Source organism: Homo sapiens, chromosome 4 (genome assembly GCF_000001405.40).
Source record: "Homo sapiens chromosome 4, GRCh38.p14 Primary Assembly".
Taxonomy (NCBI): domain Eukaryota; kingdom Metazoa; phylum Chordata; class Mammalia; order Primates; family Hominidae; genus Homo; species Homo sapiens.
In genome coordinates this window covers 57122583-57142806 of record NC_000004.12, presented here as the reverse complement: position 1 = coordinate 57142806, position 20224 = coordinate 57122583, and the positions used below count along the sequence as shown (strand labels likewise).

The following is a 20224-nucleotide window of genomic DNA, read 5'->3' as shown; positions in this document are numbered from 1 at the left end:
TAGAACAATGGAACAAAATAGATAACCTAGATATAAATCCATGTATTTACAATCAGCTGGTTTTTAACAAAGGCACCAAGAACATACATTAGGAGAAGGACAGTCTCTTCAATAAATGGTTCTGGGAAAATTGAATATCCATATGCAGAAAAATGAAACTAGACCTCTATCTCTCATCTTATCCAACGATCATCTCAAGGCCAGGCACAGTGGCTCACGCCTGTAATCCCAGCACCTTGAGAGGCTGAGGCAGGAGGATTGCTTGAGCCCAGGAGCTTGAGACTAGCCTGGGCAGCATAGCGAGACCCTGTCTCTACCAAAACTTAAAATTAAAAAAAAAACTTAAAATCAACTCAAGAGAGATTAAAGACTTAAATGTAAGACTCAAAACTACAAAGCTACTTGAAGAAAACGTAGAGGAAACCCTTCAGGACTTTGGTGAAGGCAAAGATTTTATGGCTAAAACCTCAAAAGCACAGGCAACAGAAACAAAATAGACAAATGGGTCTATATTAAACTAAAAAGTTTCTGCGCAGCAAAAGAAACAATCAACAGAGTAAAGGGACAACCTGTTGAATGGGAGAAAATATTTGCAAACTATTCATCTGACAGGGGATTAATATCCAGGATACACAAGGAGCTCGAAAAACTCAACAGTAAAATAATAATAATCCCATTAAAAAGTGGGCAAAGAACATGAATAGACATTGTGCAAAAAAAGACATACAAATGGCCAATAGATATATTAAAAAATGCTCAACATCACTAATAATCAGAGAAATGCAAATTAAAACCACAATGAGATGCCATCTCACATCAGTCAGAATGGCTCTTACTGAAAAGACATAGAATAACAGATGCTGGTGAGGCTGCAGAGAAAAGGGAACATTTGTAGATCATTGGTGGGAATGTAAATTAGTCCCACCACTATGGAAAATAATATGAAGATTTCTCAAAAAACTGAAAATAGAACTACCACATGATCTAGCAATCCCACTCTTGGGAATTTATCCAAAGGAAAAGAAACCAGCATATCAAGTGTATACCTGTGCCCGTATGTTTATTTCAGCACTGTTCTCAATAGCGAAGATATGGAATCTACCTAAGAGGACGAATGGATAAAGAAAATGTGGTATAGGCTGCTCTGCCTATGGGGTAGCCATTCTTTTATTCCTTTACTTTCTTAATAAACTTGCTTTCATTTTACTCTATGAACTCACCCAGAATTCTTTCTTGCATGATGTCCAAGAACCCTCTCTTGCAGTCTGGATTGGGACCCCTTTCCCATAACATCTTCCTGGAAAACCATGAAGAGACTATAGTGAGAAGACCCCCAACTCAAAGGAAATGGACTGCAGTATCAATTGGCTGACTTTGGGTAAGAGGGCGGGTACATTTCACCAGGGTAAATGATGGGATTGGGTTAGAGACCCAATTTAGGAGGGTTAGAATCCCTCCTAAGACAGAGAGGGCTAAAGGCCCCTCTTAATAAAAGGCAAGGACACTTGACCAAACTTGGTTTCAAGGCCCAACTTAGGAAGGTTAGAGTCCTTCCTAAGATTTAGGGGGTTAAAGGTCCCCCTCAGTAAAGTCTCTTGGTTAAAAATGGATTTGACATTATGGGATGTTAACCACTATTCTCTTTGAATTAATCTGCCTTACTCTCTTTGCTGATGGCTATGGGTGACATAATTAGGCAAGTACAGGATCACAGGACATGGGGAGCTTTTCTCTCCACAAAGGAAGAAACTTGAGAGCTTATGGGGCTGCTGGAAAAGATACCTTTGTGACTGACAAGCAGCTGCCTGAACTTTTGATTCACCGTCTCTGCAATGGGTAACAGTGGGTCTTTCTCTGGCCTCCCTGAGCTGCTCACCTTCCTCACCACACTGCAAGCAATGCTTTTCTCTCTCTCTTTCTCTCCTTTCCTTTTCCTAACTTTTCTGTTACTCAAGGAGGCCATCTGCTCTTCCATCTTACCCAGAGGCCACATTTTGAAACTCCTGGTTAGAGGTCATTCCACCCCACTTTGAATGGATTAAAGATAACAGGGCCCAACTCGGGGCAAGTTTGAGCCTCACCAGTTCAATATTGGGTGCTAAACAGGGTGGCTAATGTCTGTGTTTTGTCACATGTATTTTGCTCTGGCCAGAATGGGAAATGTGAATTTGGTTAACCCATGCAACCCCTTGGGTGGCATCTTGCAAACTTGATAGGCTTTTGCCTATGGTTCTATGAAACAGAAAAAGATGATTTTCCTTTGTGTTGCGGCTTGGCACCCAGGACTATAATGTGGCAAAAAGGGTCACTACAGGTGCTGAGGAAAAGGGAACCCAGAAATCTAGCATGCCAGCAAAAGGGTAAGAATTTCTTACCAGTCAGGTTTCTGGCCTCGCTCTCTGTGCAAACTGGTTGGGTGAATGGTAAAGAAATCACTGTTCACCTCCTCTGCAACGTTTTGAACAATGGGAAAAAATAATCTGTGAGTCTAGTGTTAGACTGTAACAAATCCGGTGGACTTTATGCTATGAATTTGTCTTTCTGTATCATTCTGTCATAAGGAGGGGTACCTTAGGATAGAACACAGGCCTAGGATCCCATAAGTCCACTGTCCAAGCCATCCCAGCAAACTGGTCAGTTACCAAATTTTGCTTCCCTGAAACAAACAAACAAAAAATTAGATGATATTTCCCTCTCATCTTGTCTTATGTCCTTAGGAGCTTGTCCTCATAACCACATGGCAGTACTTGCTCTTGGTCTCTGCCAAAATTCAGAGACAGGAATTTTGGAATTCATGTCATAGCTCTAAAAATTCTCTTGAGCAGTTAAAAGCCTTTGCAGGCTCAAAATTGGCTGCCTCTAGAGTCCTTCTGGGCAGGGCAGAGGAAACTGCCCAATGTTGTAGCTTAGGAGCTAAGGCTTTGTCTTTTCACAATGGCAGCCCAGGTTCCATTTTCAGCCTAGGAATGAGAACTTTCTGGTTGATATTTGTGTGACCTTTGCCATTTACTGATCCTCTTCCCCTCCATATACAACTTCTGACTTCCTGTCTTGGGTTTTCCTTTCTCTGAGCACCTGGGAGGTTACCTTTGGTAAAGTTCAAAAGCCAGAAATACTTGCTGTTTATTCTGGATAGACTTTGGTAATAAGATATTTGGTTAAAAGTCAGCTAAATTAAAAGCAATATACATGCTATACATATATTTTAAAGGCCTTTATGTTTTTTTCTCTTACTGGATCTTATTTTTCTGAAGAAAAAGTTTTTCTCTTCTCAGCTGACTTAATTGTTTTTCTCCATTTTGTCTTCTTGCCACTGTTGATGCACACATGAGAGAAATTATCCAAAGATAATTTCTAACAGCCTGAAACTCCTTGGGAAAAACAGAAGAGGCACCACAGACTCTGCCGGGGAGGAAAACACCATTTTCCTCATGAAACCCCAGGAATTGAAAGTGGATAGATCCCTCTCAAAATCTAAGGCTCTGTTCTGTTTTGCATTGCATTATCTGACGTCTTCAGCTTTGGAGAGTATCAGGAATTACTTCATATTATGAGAGAGTTTTGGTGTGTAATAAGTAGGTAGGAAATATACTTTTGAAGATGGCTGATATTAATAGCAGTTATGGGGGAATACTCAGCTCTTTGCACTTTTAGATCAGAGACACGTGCTCTTGGCCACCTGGAAGGTATGGAAACATCCCCCTTTTTCTCTTGAACAAAATTTTCATGTAATATTAAAAATAATAAAAGATTTTATTTGCCTTTTAAATAAACTATAGGAAAAAGAAAGGAAAGAAAAGAGATTGTTTGGAAAGCTAAGTCTTTTCTCTAATAATGAGTAAAGGTTATTGCCTTTTTAAAATTGTTGAGTTATCATTTTGGCTAAATGAATGACTTACAGTGACCTGAAATTCTATTTTATAGTACCAAGTCTTCTAAACCTTTGATATTTGACAAACTTTCCAAAATCATATTGTAAATTATGTCTTTTTCTGACCAAATAAATAATCTTTTAGATATTAAGTCCCCTAAAGTCCAAAAATGACTTACTATTTTTGGTTTATTTGGTATAAAATCATAAAAGAAGCATTGTCAAATATAAAATGGTGTTTGGCTTTCTTTGGTCTGTATTCATTAAATATGCTATTGGTATATATTCCAAAATTATGGGAAACTCCTATAATTCTGACTTAGTGTACATTATTTACAATTATAATTGTTATGTAAAGTTGTTGTATGCCAAAGAAGTAACCAAAATTTCTAGTCAATTGTGGCTTTAATAGTGGCTGCCCTAAGACTTTGTCATCCACAGACAATTGTTATCTTGTTTTGATCCTCTTTAAAAGGCAGTTTTATAATCAGCTATGGGACTCTGACAGGTGCTCTTGAATGCAGGTTTCTGATAACTTTGGAGATTGTGACATTAGAATAGAGAAAAATCTTTCAGGACTCTCATGGAAAGCTGAAATGTTCATGAATATCAAGCAGAACGGAGGTTAACTGCATGAACTTAACTAATAGAAGACTGAAATAATCCCTTTATAATTTTTTGCTTAAAATGTTACTGATTCTTTGTTTTGTTTTCAGAGAGAAGAAAAGTTTTCTTTTGAGCTATTTACAGCTTTTAACAATTGAGTAAAGTATACTTCTATAAACAAAATTGGAAGCGTATTTGTTTCTCTCTACCTGATTTCTCCAGAATCTGGAAACTATTTGTAAAGTATTCCTTTTTTTTTTTTTTTTTTTAGTTTCTTGAGACAGAGTCTTGCTCTGCCACCCAGGCTGGAGTGCAGTGGCATGATCTTGGCTCACTGCAATCTCCACCTCCCAGGTTCAAGCCATTCTCTTGCCTCAGCCTCCCAAGTAGCTGGAATTACAGGTGCCCGCCACCACACCAGGCTAATTTTTGTATTTTTAGCCATGTTAGCCAGCCTGGTCTCGAACTCCTGATCTCAAGTGATCTGCCCACCTCAGCCTCCCAAAATGCTGGGATTATAGGTATGAGCCACCATGCCTGGCCTATTTGTAAGTATTCTTAATTTATAGCAATATCGTTATTTGCATAGGTGTAATAATGATCTGTTTTCTTTTGTAACAGGACACAATTGGAAATGCTGATTATTTTATTAAGGCTTTTACTGGAATGGTATGCTTTCAGGTACAGACAGACTTGTTTAAAGAATCAAAGTTGACTTATAGAGCCAATAAAAGCCCCTTGAGAAAACTGGTCTCATTCTTTGTCTACACAGTCCCTGTACAGAGTTCCTGACCTGTGGTAAGTAAAGAATGTCACTTCCTGACAGACTTAGGAGCCCCAAGTTGTCTGGAGACCTCAAGAGAGAGGAATGTACCCAACTCATATAGGTATTTAATGGCACAAAGCCATGGCTGGGCTCAAGGCTTTAAAAAAAAAAAAAGGCTTATCTGAGATTCCTTATGGAACAGAGTTCCATCAGGGCCAACTTAAAAAGTCTATGTGAAAAATAGTTATTCTTCCTACACTTTATATAAATAATCAGGCCAAGTCTAAGACTAAAGCTTATTTTGCAAACAATTCAGTGCTATCATGATTTGTTTTTAATCAAAATGAGAACTGGGAAGAGAAAAAGTATGTTTCAAAAACCATGGTACACTTGTTATTAGATTCTAATCTCATCAGTTGTTTTTAAGTTTTTTCCTGCAATTTAGACTAACCCTGATTATTCCTGTGAATCAACCAGTGATCTCTGGCTGCAGCTCAGAAGAAACAAAAGGGATGGGTAATGTAAAAATCTAGATCAGTATTCTAATTCTGGCACACACTGGAACCAGCTAGCAACTCCATATCAGCTTGGTTCCCACAATTGCCCAGTTCATGGAAAGCTATTTAGTTTACTTGGGATAATTTTACTTATTTTGCTTTGCTGTTGTGGCATATATTGCTGTTGTACCCTTTGTAGGAATGTAGGATAAGCTTACTCAACATTTTCTTAAATTGAACACTTATTAATCTTCCAGATATCACCTTTTGTTGGAACTCAGAGTTATGAATGACCCTCAGCATATTGACACTTTCTGATTGAGTTCTTCTCTGTCCTAGATACAAATACCCTAATAGTTAGGCAGGATTATCATTGCCCCTATTTAGCCTGAAGAAGTTACAGAAGATGAGTTTTCATCCCTCTACAACCCTTAGGATTGAGGGTTCCCTTGTAAAAGGAAGGGGGGAAATATGTCAGAGGCAGTGACTCCATCTTGAATAGGGGCTGGATAAAAAAGGCTAAGAGCTGCTGCATTCCTAGGAGGTTAGGCATTCTTAGTCACAGATGAAATAAGAGGTGGACAGGACTGGTATCACAGGATACAGCTTACAAAAACCCTGCTGATAAAATAGGATGTGGTAAAGAAGCTGGCTAAAACCCACCAAAACCAAGATGGCAATGAAAGTGACCTCTAGCCATTCTCACTGCTCATTATATGCTATTTTTTCTTTTGAGACAGAGTCTCACTGTGTTGCCCAGGCTGGAGTGCAGTGGCATGATCTCAGCTCACTGCAGCCTCCACCTCCTGGGTTCAAGCAATTCTCGTGCCTCAGCCAAGTAGTTGGGAATCCAGGTGCACACCACATGTTTGGCTAATTTTTTGTATTTTTAATAGAGACAGGGTTTCTCCATGTTGGCCAGGCTGGTATCGAACTCCTGGCCTCAAGCAATCTACCTGCCTGGGCCTCCCAACGTGCTGGAATTACAGGTATGAGCCACCACACCCAGCCATTATATGCTTATTATGAATGCGTTAGCAATGCTAAAAGGCACTCCCACCAGCGCCATGACAGTTTACAAATGCAATAGCAACGTCCAGAAGTTACCCTATATAGTCTTTAAAAAAATGGAGGAACCCTCATTCCAGGAAATCTCCACCCCTTTCCTTAAAAACTGGTGAATAATCCACCCCTTGTTTAGCATGCAATCAAGAAATAACTACAAGTATACTCAGTCTAGCAGCCCATGCTACTGCTCTGCGTATGGGGTAGCCATTCTTTTATTTCTTTACTTTCTTAACAAATTTGCTTTCATTTTTAAACTAAAGAAAGAAAACGTGGTATATGGCCGGGCGCGGTGGCTCACGCCTGTAATCCCAGCACTTTGGGAGGCCGAGGCGGGTGGATCATGAGGTCAGGAGATCGAGACCATCCTGGCTAACAAGGTGAAACCCCGTCTCTACTAAAAATACAAAAAATTAGCCGGGCACGGTGGCGGGCGCCTGTAGTCCCAGCTACTCGGGAGGCTGAGGCAGGAGAATGGCGTGAACCCGGGAAGCGGAGCTTGCAGTGAGCCGAGATTGCGCCACTGCAGTCCGCAGTCCGGCCTGGGCGACAGAGCGAGACTCCGTCTCAAAAAAAAAAAAAAAAAAAAAGAAAGAAAAGAAAACGTGGTATATTCGCGATGGAGTTCCATTCAGCCATAAAAAGAATGAAATCATGTCATTTGCAGCAACTTGGATGGAACTGGAGGTCATTATGTTAAATGGAATAAGCCAGGCACAGAAAGACAAATATCACACGTTCTCACTCATACCTGGGAGCTAAAAAAAGTTGATCTCATGGAAGTAGAGAGTAGAATAATAGGTACCAGAGACTGAGAAGGTTATGTGGGGGTGAGGAGGGATAAAGAGAGTTTAGTTAATGGGTACAAACTTACAGTTCTATAGAAGTTAAAAGTTATAATATTTGATAGCAAAGTGGAGTGACTATAGTTAGCAACAAGGTGTATATTTCAAAATAGCTGGAAGAGATAACTTGAAATATTACCAACACACAGAAATGATAAATACTGGTCAGGCACAGTGGCTCACGCCTATAGTCCCAGCACTTTGGGAGTCCAAGTCGGTCAGATCACTTGAAGCCAGGAGTTCAAGACCAGCCTGGCAAACAGGTAAAATCCCATCTCTACTAAAAATACAAAAATTAGCTGAGTATGGTGGCACACGCCTGTAATCCCAGCTACTTGGGAGGCTGAGGCACAAGAATCACTTGAACCCAGGAGGTGGAGGTTGCAGTGAGCTGAGATCATGCCACTGCACTCCAGCCTCCATCTCAAAAAAAAAAAAAAAAAAAAAAAGAAATGATAAATATTCAAGGTGATGGATACACCAAATACCCAGACTTATCATTACACTTTCTATGCATGTAACAAAATATCACCCCATAAATATGTAAAATATTATGTATCCATTAAATTTTTTAAATGTACCTTAAAATAATGATGCCTAGATTTTGGAATTTTACCCAAAAAGTGTGATTTTAATTAAAAAAAAAAAACCTGGGGACTAATATAGGGCTAGTAATTTTCTATTTTGCCCAAAAAAAAGAATTTTTAAAAATCTGCTATTCTCATCATTTCATTAAAAAAGAACATTTTAACAACCAAAAAATAAGCAGATATTATCTCATAATGAAAAAAAAGTCTTAAATAGAACAATTTGGCTTTGCAAAAACTCACTAAATTGTGCCTTTCTTCCACCACTCTTCAGATAGTAGTGTGAACTTCATCAGGGACCAGCACTGCTGTGAGCACTAGCTTTGGAAAACACCAGCTTAGGGGTGGTAGAAAAGACAAAAATGGAGTGAGAGTAGACTGGTGAAGACAGAAAAAGAAATAAAGATTAGGAGTCATCAAACAATGATCCAGTAGAGCCATGGTTTGCAAGTTGCTTCACAGAAGATACTCAAAAGCAGCTAGCAAGGGGCGAAGCTGTGGGTCTCCAGCCTTCCTCTTCAGTCAGAGAGGCCTTACTCTTATTTGACGTATATTGGGATACCACCTTATCAGACTCACTGAGGCACATGGGTTCTCTGGGCTGGCTAATGGTTTGTGCCAATTCTTCAAATATTGACTCAACACATTTTTAGTGAGAGTAGGGAGAAACCAACTAACTTCACTTGAAAAAAAATATATACCTTCTCCTTTATGTTCAGAACAAGAGACAATTACATACACTTATCATTAACATAATATTTTGACTTATTTGCAATTGTCTTCCATTTCACTGATTTTCCATTTTTCCTAGCTACAAAGCACTGTTCCGTTATACCAAGTCCCTCAGAGTCACTAGGAATAGAAGCAGCTTACATGGCTTTTTCAGGGTGATTTTACTGTGTTTTGTTTTGCCTTTCTTGTTAACAAAACATTCTCTTTTCTGAAATATGTGTTATTATCCAGGTTGTGTGAGATTTTCCAAACCAGATACATTTTGGGAGGCATTAAGGGATTACAGTGCATATGATAGAGTAAATCATTTTTTCTCAGTAAGTGGGACTAAGTGATGTGTTGCTGGGTTTCAGAATTTCAGCTGACTGCAACTGCCAACTTCAGGCCTCTGTCAGCTACCTTGCTGGGACTGGTTGGGGCCAAATGAACTGCAGGCATGCTGGAGTCATCAAAACATTCAGACCAAATTGGCCCCCACCATCGAAGAGTGTTTTGCTTTTGTTTTTATTTTCACATAAGGGGCTCTACTTCATTAGGACCAAAAATGATATACATTTTGATGCTTTTTAAAATAATAGTAGGTGGAAACCTGAGTTTTAAAAGTGCCATATTTCTGATTTATTCCAGCATCTTTTAGCTTCTTCCTAGGAAGAAGCTCAGTTGATCTGCTTCCTAATCCAGATCTGTAAAATTCACTTGAATAAAGTGTTTGGCTTTTCAGTAAAGTTTTAAAACCGCAAAAGAACAGGTATGCACATCAGGGTACACTAGAGGGTTACAATAGGCAGTTGTAAAATGAAAGTATTTTGGAAGTCTCATATAGTTGTTAATTACCAACCTCATTCCTTGATGAGAATATTAACCAGACCAAACTGCTGTCATCCAGTGCTTGATCATCAATGGTTTGCTTTGGACTCCTGCCAAATATGGGGAAAAAAATGGGGCAAATGAAGGGAAGGAAGACACTGGCTGATGACTACCAGTACATCCTTTCTCTATCCCAAGGCAAATGAGACAGATGAGACTCGCCCACCCACCTCCACCTTTTCCCCCTAATAATAGTCCAAAATGCTCCCTATAGAAAATATGTGCAACAGCAGCAGTCTTCCTCTTCCCTGCACAAGTCTGCACCCATTTTTTGTGCTGATGCTGACAGTTCATTTGGTATACAGAAAGGACTCCACACAGGGAGACAGAATCAAGCCCAACTTCCTCTCCAATAACCTGAGAAGCCCAGACCCATTGGCCCACAGGTGGCACATGCATGTGGATGGGAGATCTGGTCCGGGAGGACTTGGCACTCACTGGAGCTGCCCTCTGAAGCTCATCCAACAATCCACCCTATTGAATGCAGGAGGTGTGGAGATAATGACTATTTCCTGAATGTCTTGCTGTTTAAACAGTCCTGCTGTGGTGTTTGGAGAAATTCAGGATGTTTTTGCATTCCAGGTGCTGTTGGAGCTGCCTAGCTAAGCTAAACACCCCACACAGGCACTGAGAACAGGTGGTGTCTGGCCAGACTGCTGGCAGTCAGGATGATGGTTGTTTTTCCTGTTCCAGCAGTTGGCAGAGGAATGCGAGCTTCAGTACAATCAGTAGCTTTCCATCCTCGAAAAAGGAATGTGTTCTCCCTGACACCACTGCATAAAGACACTCTATAGCGCTCAAAAGCCCTTTCTGAGACAGAACAAAGTCCAAAACCACAGACTACCATTCAGAATCTTCCTCAATTTATCCCTGTTTTTAAGCACTTTGGCATGCAAGATGCAAGATCCACTTAAGCGAGCTCAGGAGAGGGTGTGTGTAGGTGCGTGTGTGTGTGTGTATGTGTGTATGTGTGTGTGTGTAGAGATGTTATTAAAAGAATGCAAGGGAGGAAATGGCTCAAAGGAACCAAAAATTAACCAGGAATCACCTGTGGCTCCCTAAATCTCGAGGGACCACAAAGCTCCCCCCAACTCTAGTTCTGTCATGAGACACACATGCTCTAGTCAACTCTTTTCCTAATTTTTGCCTTGGACTCCATATCTATTAATCCCTGTCACATTCTTTCAAGGGTCTTCTCTGATCTCCCCCCAAGCCCACCATTTGATGACATCTGTTTCTCCTGATTACACTCGGTCAAAGGACCCTGTTTCATCCATTGCCTTTGTTATGACCTGACATTTTCTTATTTATTTACTTGTGCATTTTCCCATTTAAACCTAATGTCTGTGAAAGAAGGACTTTGCCTTGTACATCCCTGTATCAATAGGCCCTAGAACAGCATGAGGCAGATAATCAGCACTTATTAAATGCATGATGGTTCACAATCAGGGCCCTCTACTATGAAATTTCTATATTTGTTGGTTCAAATGCTCACATGAGACCATCTGATTGGTTCTCTTGCCAGCTAGATGATCTCCCCTGGGCATCTGAACCAACAAATACAGAAATTGAACCAAGGCTGAATGCTAAAACTAAACTGAAAACTAGTTCTAGCATTCAGCCTTGGTCCAATCTGCCATGTCAAGGAAGAAGAGTCAGAAGCTACCCTTTCCAAAGGTTATGAGAGGTGGTGAGTCTCCAGGGATCTACAGGTGAAGAAGACACTAAAACATGCCTCAGAGAGGACTCATCAGCCTTTGCAGAGTTATCTCCCGCAAGTGCATGTACAACACATCACTACCCCATTCCTGTGGGCTACTCAAAACCCCTGGCTCTGATAGGCACTCACATTTTTGTTAAGTCACCCTGTCTTCCCTGCTTCAGATCTTGTCTCAAACTGTTCCCTCCTTTCCAGAAAGCCTCATCCCAAACAGCCCTACCCCACTGTCATGCTATAGATGTTATAGCCTTATTTCAGAATTCAACTCAGATTTCATCTCATTCCCAGATCCTGTCATTCTAAATTAACCACTCCTTTTCCCAAAGTCGGAAACACCTTGGTTCAACCTCTGCTAAGGACTTGCTCCAGGCTTCTTTGCAAGAGAAAGGTAAGAATCAGATAATAAAATGCCACCCAAAGATCCTTAGCAGGGATAACCCAGAGATTTATTTACAAGAATGGGGCCAGAATCTGACACCCATTCCAGGTACAAGAGGCCATGACGAGCTGTGTTCCTAGCGAGGGTATGACTTCCTGCTGAAGGCCACTGGGCAGCTCAGCAACATGGGGAAACACAGCAAGGGCGATGAAGATCAACTTTGCCCTCTTAGCGGCAAGGAGAAGCCCAGTCTTTACCTAAATGCTGGCTGTTTCTAGATTTCACCCCTGAGACCAGTGGTTCACAAAACTGGCTGCATGTTAACATTCCCTGGGGTGCTTTTTAAAACTCTCCACATCCTGAGAGAAACCTTAAATGCATACTGCTAAGTGAAAGAAGCCAACCTGTAAAGGTACATGTGCTGTGATTCCAACTCTGTAATATTCAGGAAAAGGAAAAACTATGGAGACAGCAAAACGGATTAGCAGTTGCCAGGGGTTAGTGGGGAAGGAAAGATAAATAAGCAGGCACAGGGCATTTTTAGGGCAGTGGAAAGAGTTTGTATGATACTATAATGGTGCATACATGTCATTATATATTTTCCCAAGCCCATAGAATATAAAACACCAAGAGTGGACCCTAATGTAAACTATGGATTCTGAGTGATAATGATGTGTCGATGGAGGTTCATCAATTCTAACAAATGTACCACTTTGCTGGGGGATGAAAAATATAATATATGCCTGGCCCACATTCATGTCATATTGCCATCATCATAGTGCCTTTGCCACTCATAGCTTTCTATAAATGCAGAGGAGGCTAATGCCTGTGTGGGGAAGAGGGTATATAAGTACTCTCTGTACTTGCTGCTCAATCTTGCTGAGAACTTAAAACTGCTCTAAAAAATAAAATCTATAAATATATCTACACACCCAGATCCTGCCCTAGATATTGTAAATAAATTACTCCAGGGTGGGGCCCAGGCTTTGAGAACCACTGGCCTGGAGCTATATCAAAACATATCTGTCTGGGTATGATGGCTCACACCTGTAATCCCAGCATTTTGGGAGTCAGAAGCAGGAGGATCACTTGAGGCTAGGAGTTTGAGACCAGCCTGGGCAACGTAGCAAGACCCCATCAGGTGAGTGGCACACACCTGTGGTCCTAGCTACACAAGAGGCTGAAACAGGAGGATTGCTTGAGCCCAGGAATTCAAGGATACTGTGAGCTATGATTGTGCCACTACACTCCAGCCTGGACAACAGAGCAAGACCCTGTCTCCTAAAAAAACAGAAAGTATCATAAGAGAAAGACAGACAAGAGCTTTGCTTCCAAAGAGGCCTAAGCAGGAATCCCAACTCCTCTTTACCACCTTTGCCATCTTCCACAAGTCAGTTAAGGCTTCCTTTCTGTGCAAGTAAAGTGCCAGTAATTCCTACTGCATATGATTATTGTAAAGATTAGAGAAAACATGTGCAAAATTCCAGGTACATAATAAACCCTCAATAAAATTATGTATACATATTATTAATTCCTCCCAACAACCCAATAATACATATTATTAATTCCTCCCAAAAACAATATGTTTTAAACATGTAAGGCAATGTTGCCTACACAACAAAATATTAGTGCTTTAAGAAAAAGAGGTCCTTTTTTTTTGTTTTTGTGTAAGCCACCTCAGCCTATTCATATGATGAAAGTTGTTTGGCAGGCCAGGTGTGTACACTCCTCTGCAAATCAACATCTCCAGATTCTAACTTTTTATTGAGGCAATAGCCCCCTTAAAAAGTGAATTCATGTCAGCCACTATAGACCAGGAGGCAGCTATTCCGCTACAAAGCAATTGATGTGGAAGTCAGTAACTGTTCTTGAATACAAATACTGCACCTATAGAAAGCTATGGGTGGCAAAGTCACTATGCGAATATGACATGAATGTGAGACAGGCATATACTACATTTTGTATATGGAAAACAACCATCATGCACAAAATCAAAAAGAAAGAAAAATGTCTTTCCTGCTTATTGGCAAAATCATAGTATCTAGTTTTCAAAGTCCATTAAAGAAATGCTTCTTGACTTTCTCACTGTGTGTATTAGTCTGTTCTCATGCTGCTAATAAAGACATACCCAAGACATGGTAATTTATAAAGGAAAGAGGTTTATTGGACCCACAGTTCAGCATGTCTGGGGAGGCCTCACAATCATGGCAGAAGACAAAGGAGAAGCAAAGGCACATCTTACATGGTAGCAGGCAAGAGAGCTTGTGCAAGGGAACTCCCATTTATAAAACCATCAGATCTCATGAAACGTATTCACTACCATGAGAACAGTATGAGGGAAACCACCCCCATGATTCAATTATCTCCACCTGGCCCTTCTCTTGACAATTCAAGGTAAGATTTTGGGGGGGACACAGAGCCAAACCACATCATTCCACCCCTGGCCCCTCCAAAATCTCATGTCCTCACATTTCAAAACCAATCATGCCTTCCCAGCAGTTCCCCAAAGTCTTAACTCATTTCAGCATTAACTCAAAAGTCCACAGTCTCATCTGAGATAAGGCAAGTCCCTTCCGCCTAGGAGCCTGTAAAATCAAAAGCAAGTAAGTTACTTCCTAGATACAATTGGGGTACAGGCGTTGGATAAATGCACCCATTCCAAATGGGAGAAATTTGCCAAAATTAAGGGGCTATAGGCCCCATACAAGTCCAAAATCCAGCAGGGCAGTTAAATCTTAAAGCTCCAAAATGATCTCCTTTGAACTCCATGTCTCAGATCCAGGTCACACCAATGAAAAAGGTGGGTTCTCATGGTCTTGAGCAGCTTCTACCCTGTGGCTTTGAGGGGTACAGCCCCGCTCCTGGCTGTTTTCGCAGGCTGGCATTGAGTGTCTGTGGCTTTTTCAGGCACACAGTGCAAACTGTCAATGTATCTACCATTCTGGGATCTGGAGGATGATGGCCCTCTTCTTACAGCTCCACTAGGCAGTGCCCCAGTGGGGACTCTGTGTGGGAGCTCACACCCCATATTTCCTTTCTGCACTGCCCTAGCAGAGGTTCTAAATGAGGGCTTTGCCCCTGCAGCACACCTCTGCCTGGACATTCAGGTATTTCCATACATCCTCTGAAATCCAGGCAGTATTTCCCAAACCTCAATTCTTGACTTCTGTGCACCCACAGGCCCAACCCCACGTGTGAGCCACCAAAGCTTGGGGCTTGTACCCTCTAAAGCAGCAGCCTGACCTTTACGGTGGCCCCTTTTAGCCCTGGCTGGGACATAGGGCACCAAGTCCCAAGATTGCACAAAGCAGCAAGGCACTGGGCCCAGCCCAGGAAACCATTTTTTCCTCCTTAGCCTCTGGACCTGTGATGGGAGGGGATGCCATGAAGACCTCTGACATCCCCTGTAGACATTTTCCCCATTGTCTTGGCAGTTAACATTTGGCTCCTCATTACTTACGTATATTTCTAGAGCCAGCTTGAATTTCTCCTCAGAAAATGGGTTTTTCTTTTCTACCACATCATTAGGCTGCACATTTTCTGCTCTTCTTCCCTTTTAAACATAAGTTCCAATTCCAAACCATATCTTTGTGAATACATAAAGCTGAATGCTTTTAACAGCACCCAAGTCACCTCTTGAACACTTTGCTGCTTAGAAATTTCATTTGCCAGATACCCTAAATCATCTCTCTCAAATTCAAATTTCCGCAGATCTCTAGGGCAGGGGCAAAATGCCATCAGTCTCTTTGTTAAAACATGGCAACAGTCACCTTTGTTCCATTTCCCAACAGTTTGTCATCTCCATCTGAGACCACCTCAACCTGGACTTCATTGTCCATATCACTATCAGCATTTTGGCCAAAGCCATTCAAAAGTCTCTAGGAAGTTTAAAACTTTCCCACATCTTCCTATCCTCTTCTGAGCCCTCCAAACTGTTCCAACCTCTGCCTGTTACCCAGTATCAAAGTCACTTCCACATTTTCAGGTATCTTTACAGCAGCACCCCACTCTACCAGTACCAATTACTGTATTAGTTTGTTCTCATGCTGCTAATAAAGACATATCTGGGACTGGGTAATTTATGAAGAAAAGAGGTTTAATGAATTCACAGTTCAGCATGGCTGAGGAGGCCTCACAATCACGGCAGAAGATAAGGGAGAAGCAAAGGTGCATCTTAGATGGTGGCAGGCAAGAGAGCTTGTGCAGGGGAACTCCCATTTATAAAACCATCAGATCTCATGAGACTTATTCACTAACATGAGAACAGTATGAGAGAAACCACACCCATGATTCATTGATCTTCACCTGGCCCCACCCTTGACATGTGGGGATTATTACAATTCAAGGTGACATTTGGGTGGAGACACAGCCAAACCGTATCACTGTACTTGACCCTCTTGCCTCCCAAAACCAAAATGATATCTAAAATACAATGGGGGCTGGCACCATAGCTCATACCCATAATCCTCACACTTTGGGAGGCCAAGGTCACTTGAGGCTAGGAGTTCAAGACCAGTCTGGGCAACATAGATAGACCCCCCCATCTCTACAAAAAATTTAAAAATTAGCCAGGCATCATGGTGCATACCCATAGCTGCAGCTACTTGGGAGGCTGATGTGGGAGAATCACCTCAGCCCAGGAGTTCAAGGCTGCAGTGAGTGATGATGGCACCACTGCACTCCAGCCTGGGCAACAGAGTGCAGTGGTGTATTAGTCCATTTTCACACTGCTATAAAGAACTACCTAAGACTGGGTAATTTATAAAGAAAAGAGATTTCATTGACTCACAATTCCTCAGGCTTCACAGGAAGCATGACTGGGAGCCTCAGGAAACTTACAATCATAGCAGAAGAGGAAGCAAACACCTTCACATGGTGGTAGGAGAGATCAAAAGGGTAAGTGCCACATACTTTTATACTATCAGCTCTTGAGAACTCACTATCACAAGAACAGCATCGGGGGAATCCACTCCCATGATCCAATCACCTCCCACAAGGCCCCTCCTCCAACACCAAGGATCACAACTCGAGATGAAATTTGGGTGGGGATGCAGAGAAAAATCATATCAAATGGTATGAAGCCAAGAGCTTGCAAAGTCTGGCCTGACTTAATCCAAGTTTGTGTAAGATAAACATGTTACAATTGTTGCCTGAACCACTGCAGAAGAGAAGATAGGTAATTTTAATCACGGTAATTATATGATGACTTAATTTAGACTTGCGGAAATGTGGATGAGCATAGGTCCCTATTTTAAAATACAAGATTGGGGAGGAAATTCCCACATGGGAATCAACAGATTAAATTAAGACAAACTATTGCAAGAAAAACAAAAAAATACCTACGATAACAAAAGTATATGCGGGACCTTAATTCATGAACTGACCTATTGATTTTTCTCAGCTGTGAACATTAGCTAGCACTTGGTCATTATCCTCAATAATAGGGGTCAGCCTATTAAACCACAGCCCACAGGTCAAACCTGGCCCATCACCAGTTTTTGTAAATAAAATTTTATGGAACACAGCTATACTCATTTGTTTACATATCGTCTATGGCTGTATTCATATTGTAACAGCTGAGTTATGTAGTTGTGAGATAGTATGGCCCACAAAAAGTTGAAAATATCTACTATCTGGCCCTTTACAAAAGTTCATCAATCCCTATTCTATAGAAACATTGCATAATATCATTTCCCTACTATAAATACTTAGGCTAAACCTGATAGTCTGAGTAAAAATATATTAAAATTTGTGCTTGAAGATTTATGCTTGATATGGAGTACATGGAATAGCAATTATGTGTTTATTATTTGTTACATGCCACTTGGGGAAAATTACTAAGTAAAATTAGCTTATACCACTAAATATCTATTTTTATATAGATAAGAGTTACACTAACAGTAAAGATTTCATTTCAGCCTTTATTAGTAATTATTAGATGGTTAGTTATTTTCACCTACCACGGCAACTTGGAGAAGAAATATAGTTCATATTATTTCTGCCTTAGTTTTGCCACAGATTAAATGTAAAGGGAAATGGAACTGGTATGTTTAATTCAATTCAGCACTTTCTATCATGGGATGAAATAGTGTCAATTATGTGCACTGCCGTTGTTTTAAAGCAAACTGAAACATAAAATATACTCAATTTAATTAAAGCATAAAAACAAAATGAAGTATCAGTAGTAAAAGAGTGAGAACAGCAGTATTGGTATGGTAATCTTATTTATGTATCTCTATTTACTGCATCCAAAATTGTGTGGGTTTTAAACAGTCATTAATGGGAATCCAGTTAAAATAGAGCAACAAAGGAGAGAAAAAAACAATTTAAATGAGTGACATTTTTCTTTTTTGCATTTTGCCATCTTCTAAAGGAGGGACTATTAAAATTTTAAATCAGTTTTTAATCAAAGTTTAGTGGTGCAATATTTAATTGAAAACAACACCAGATGTTCTTTATCAAAACATCTTTCATAATGGCTAAATCAAGGCTTGGGAAGTTATTTAATGAGATAATTGTTGGTCTGTGAATACAGCAGCAATTCTATATGTACTTGTAACACTAAAAGACACAGGTTTGGAAGCTAGCCAAGGTTGTGTTGGCTGCTTTCTGCTTCTCTTATCTCTCCCTTGTGTGGTCCAAGCAAAAATGGTGCTTTGGTGCTTTGGTTAAATTAAAATAATTCTATTTTAAAATCATTATTTTGTCAAAATAATTAAATTATTACTGACCATTAGACTTTGAGTTAATCAAAAGGGAAACAATCCAAGTGAGCCTACTCTAATCACATGAACCCTTTGAAGCAAAGTTTTCTCTGGGTAGTAACAGAAGAGGACGTCAGAGAAATCTGAAGCACTAGAAAGACTGAATATGCCATTGCTGGCTTTGAAGATGGAGGGGCCATGTGCAAGGAGGACACCAAACCTCAAAGTCCAAAACCAATAGATGAACCCCAGGAATAAGTGCCCTGGAGAATGGCATCTTGTTTGAGCCAGAGAATACAATTCCATTGATAAGATATAGGCCAGGTGTGGTGGCTCACACCTATAATCCCAGCACTGTGGGAGTCTGAGGTGGGTGAATTGCTTGAGTCCAGGAGTTCAAGACCAGCCTGGGCAACATGCCAAAAACAGGTCTCTACAAAAAATTAGCTGGGCATGGTAATATACACCTGTAGTCCCAGCTACTTGGGAGGCTGAGGCAGGAGGATCACGTGAGCCCAGGAGGTGGGCATTGCAATGAGCCAAGATCATGCCACTACACCCTAGCCTTGGTGACAGAATGAAATTCTTTCTCAAAAAAAAAAAAAAAAAGATATATAGCATAACCAACTGTATGGTTCACAGGCAAACAAAAACAAGCAAGGGAAATCCCAGAGCTCAGTTTCAGCAAAGAGTTAGTTTGAGAAAACAATATTTGACAACTGTGGTGGGCAGAACTCTAAACTGACCACCCAAGATTTCCTGCCCTAATCTCCAGGACTAGGAATAGGATGTGATATCATGTCTGTGGCTATGTTACATTACCTGGCAAACGGGATTTTGCAAAAATAATTACATTATTACTGATCAGTAGACTCTGAATTCATCAAAAGGGAAATGATCCAAGTAAGTCTTCTCTAATCACATGAACCCTTTGAAAGCACAATTTTCTCTGGGTAGTAGCAGAAGAGGAAGTCAGAGAGATCTGAAGCACTAGAAAGACTGAATATGCCATATTGCTGGCTTTGAAGATGGAGGGGCCATGTGCAAGGAGGACCAGAGAGCTGTCCAACAACATCCAGCAAGGAAGCAGGGAACTCAGTCCTACAACCACAAGGAACTGAATTCTGCCAAAAACCTGAATGATCTTAGAAGTGAATTCTTCCCAGAGCCACCAAATAAAAGCCCAACCCAGCCCACACTTTCATTTCAGCCTAGGCAGAGAACCCAGTCAAGCCTACAAGCTGAAAACTTTGTAGTGATTTGTTAAGCAACAATAGAAAACTAATAAAACTGTCATTCCTTCCATTATTAAGGCCAGAATTATAAGGAATTTCCAAAGCATCTGTTGGCTTTTCTTATCATGGTTCTGCTTGATCAAATTCCTACAACCTCCCTGATACTCACCTTAAAATTAACAATATTTTCCTGGAAGAGAAGAGAGTAAGAATCTATGAATATTAAGCAAGTTACATTGAAATCTGCAGGCACTTTTTCCAAAAAGACGAATATTGCAACAGGTAGAACATGCAATGCTTGTGAGATTCGTAGGAGACACTCATCTTCCAAAAAATTGGGCCAGTCAGCT

The 20224-nt window shown here is 40.7% G+C and overlaps 2 long non-coding RNA genes across 2 annotated transcripts in view; both read right to left on the bottom strand.

Moving 5' to 3' along the window:
* The window catches only part of IGFBP7-AS1 (IGFBP7 antisense RNA 1), a 95538-nt gene that overhangs the window by 62493 nt on the left and 12821 nt on the right, over nucleotides 1-20224 (bottom strand). The gene's annotated exons all lie outside the window — the stretch shown is intronic.
* Nucleotides 1612-10467, bottom strand: LOC107986283 (uncharacterized). The gene is made up of 3 exons (XR_001741705.1): nucleotides 9808-10467; nucleotides 2571-2656; nucleotides 1612-2448 (listed from the first exon to the last, which is right to left on the bottom strand). It is a non-coding gene; the product is annotated as an uncharacterized LOC107986283 (long non-coding RNA).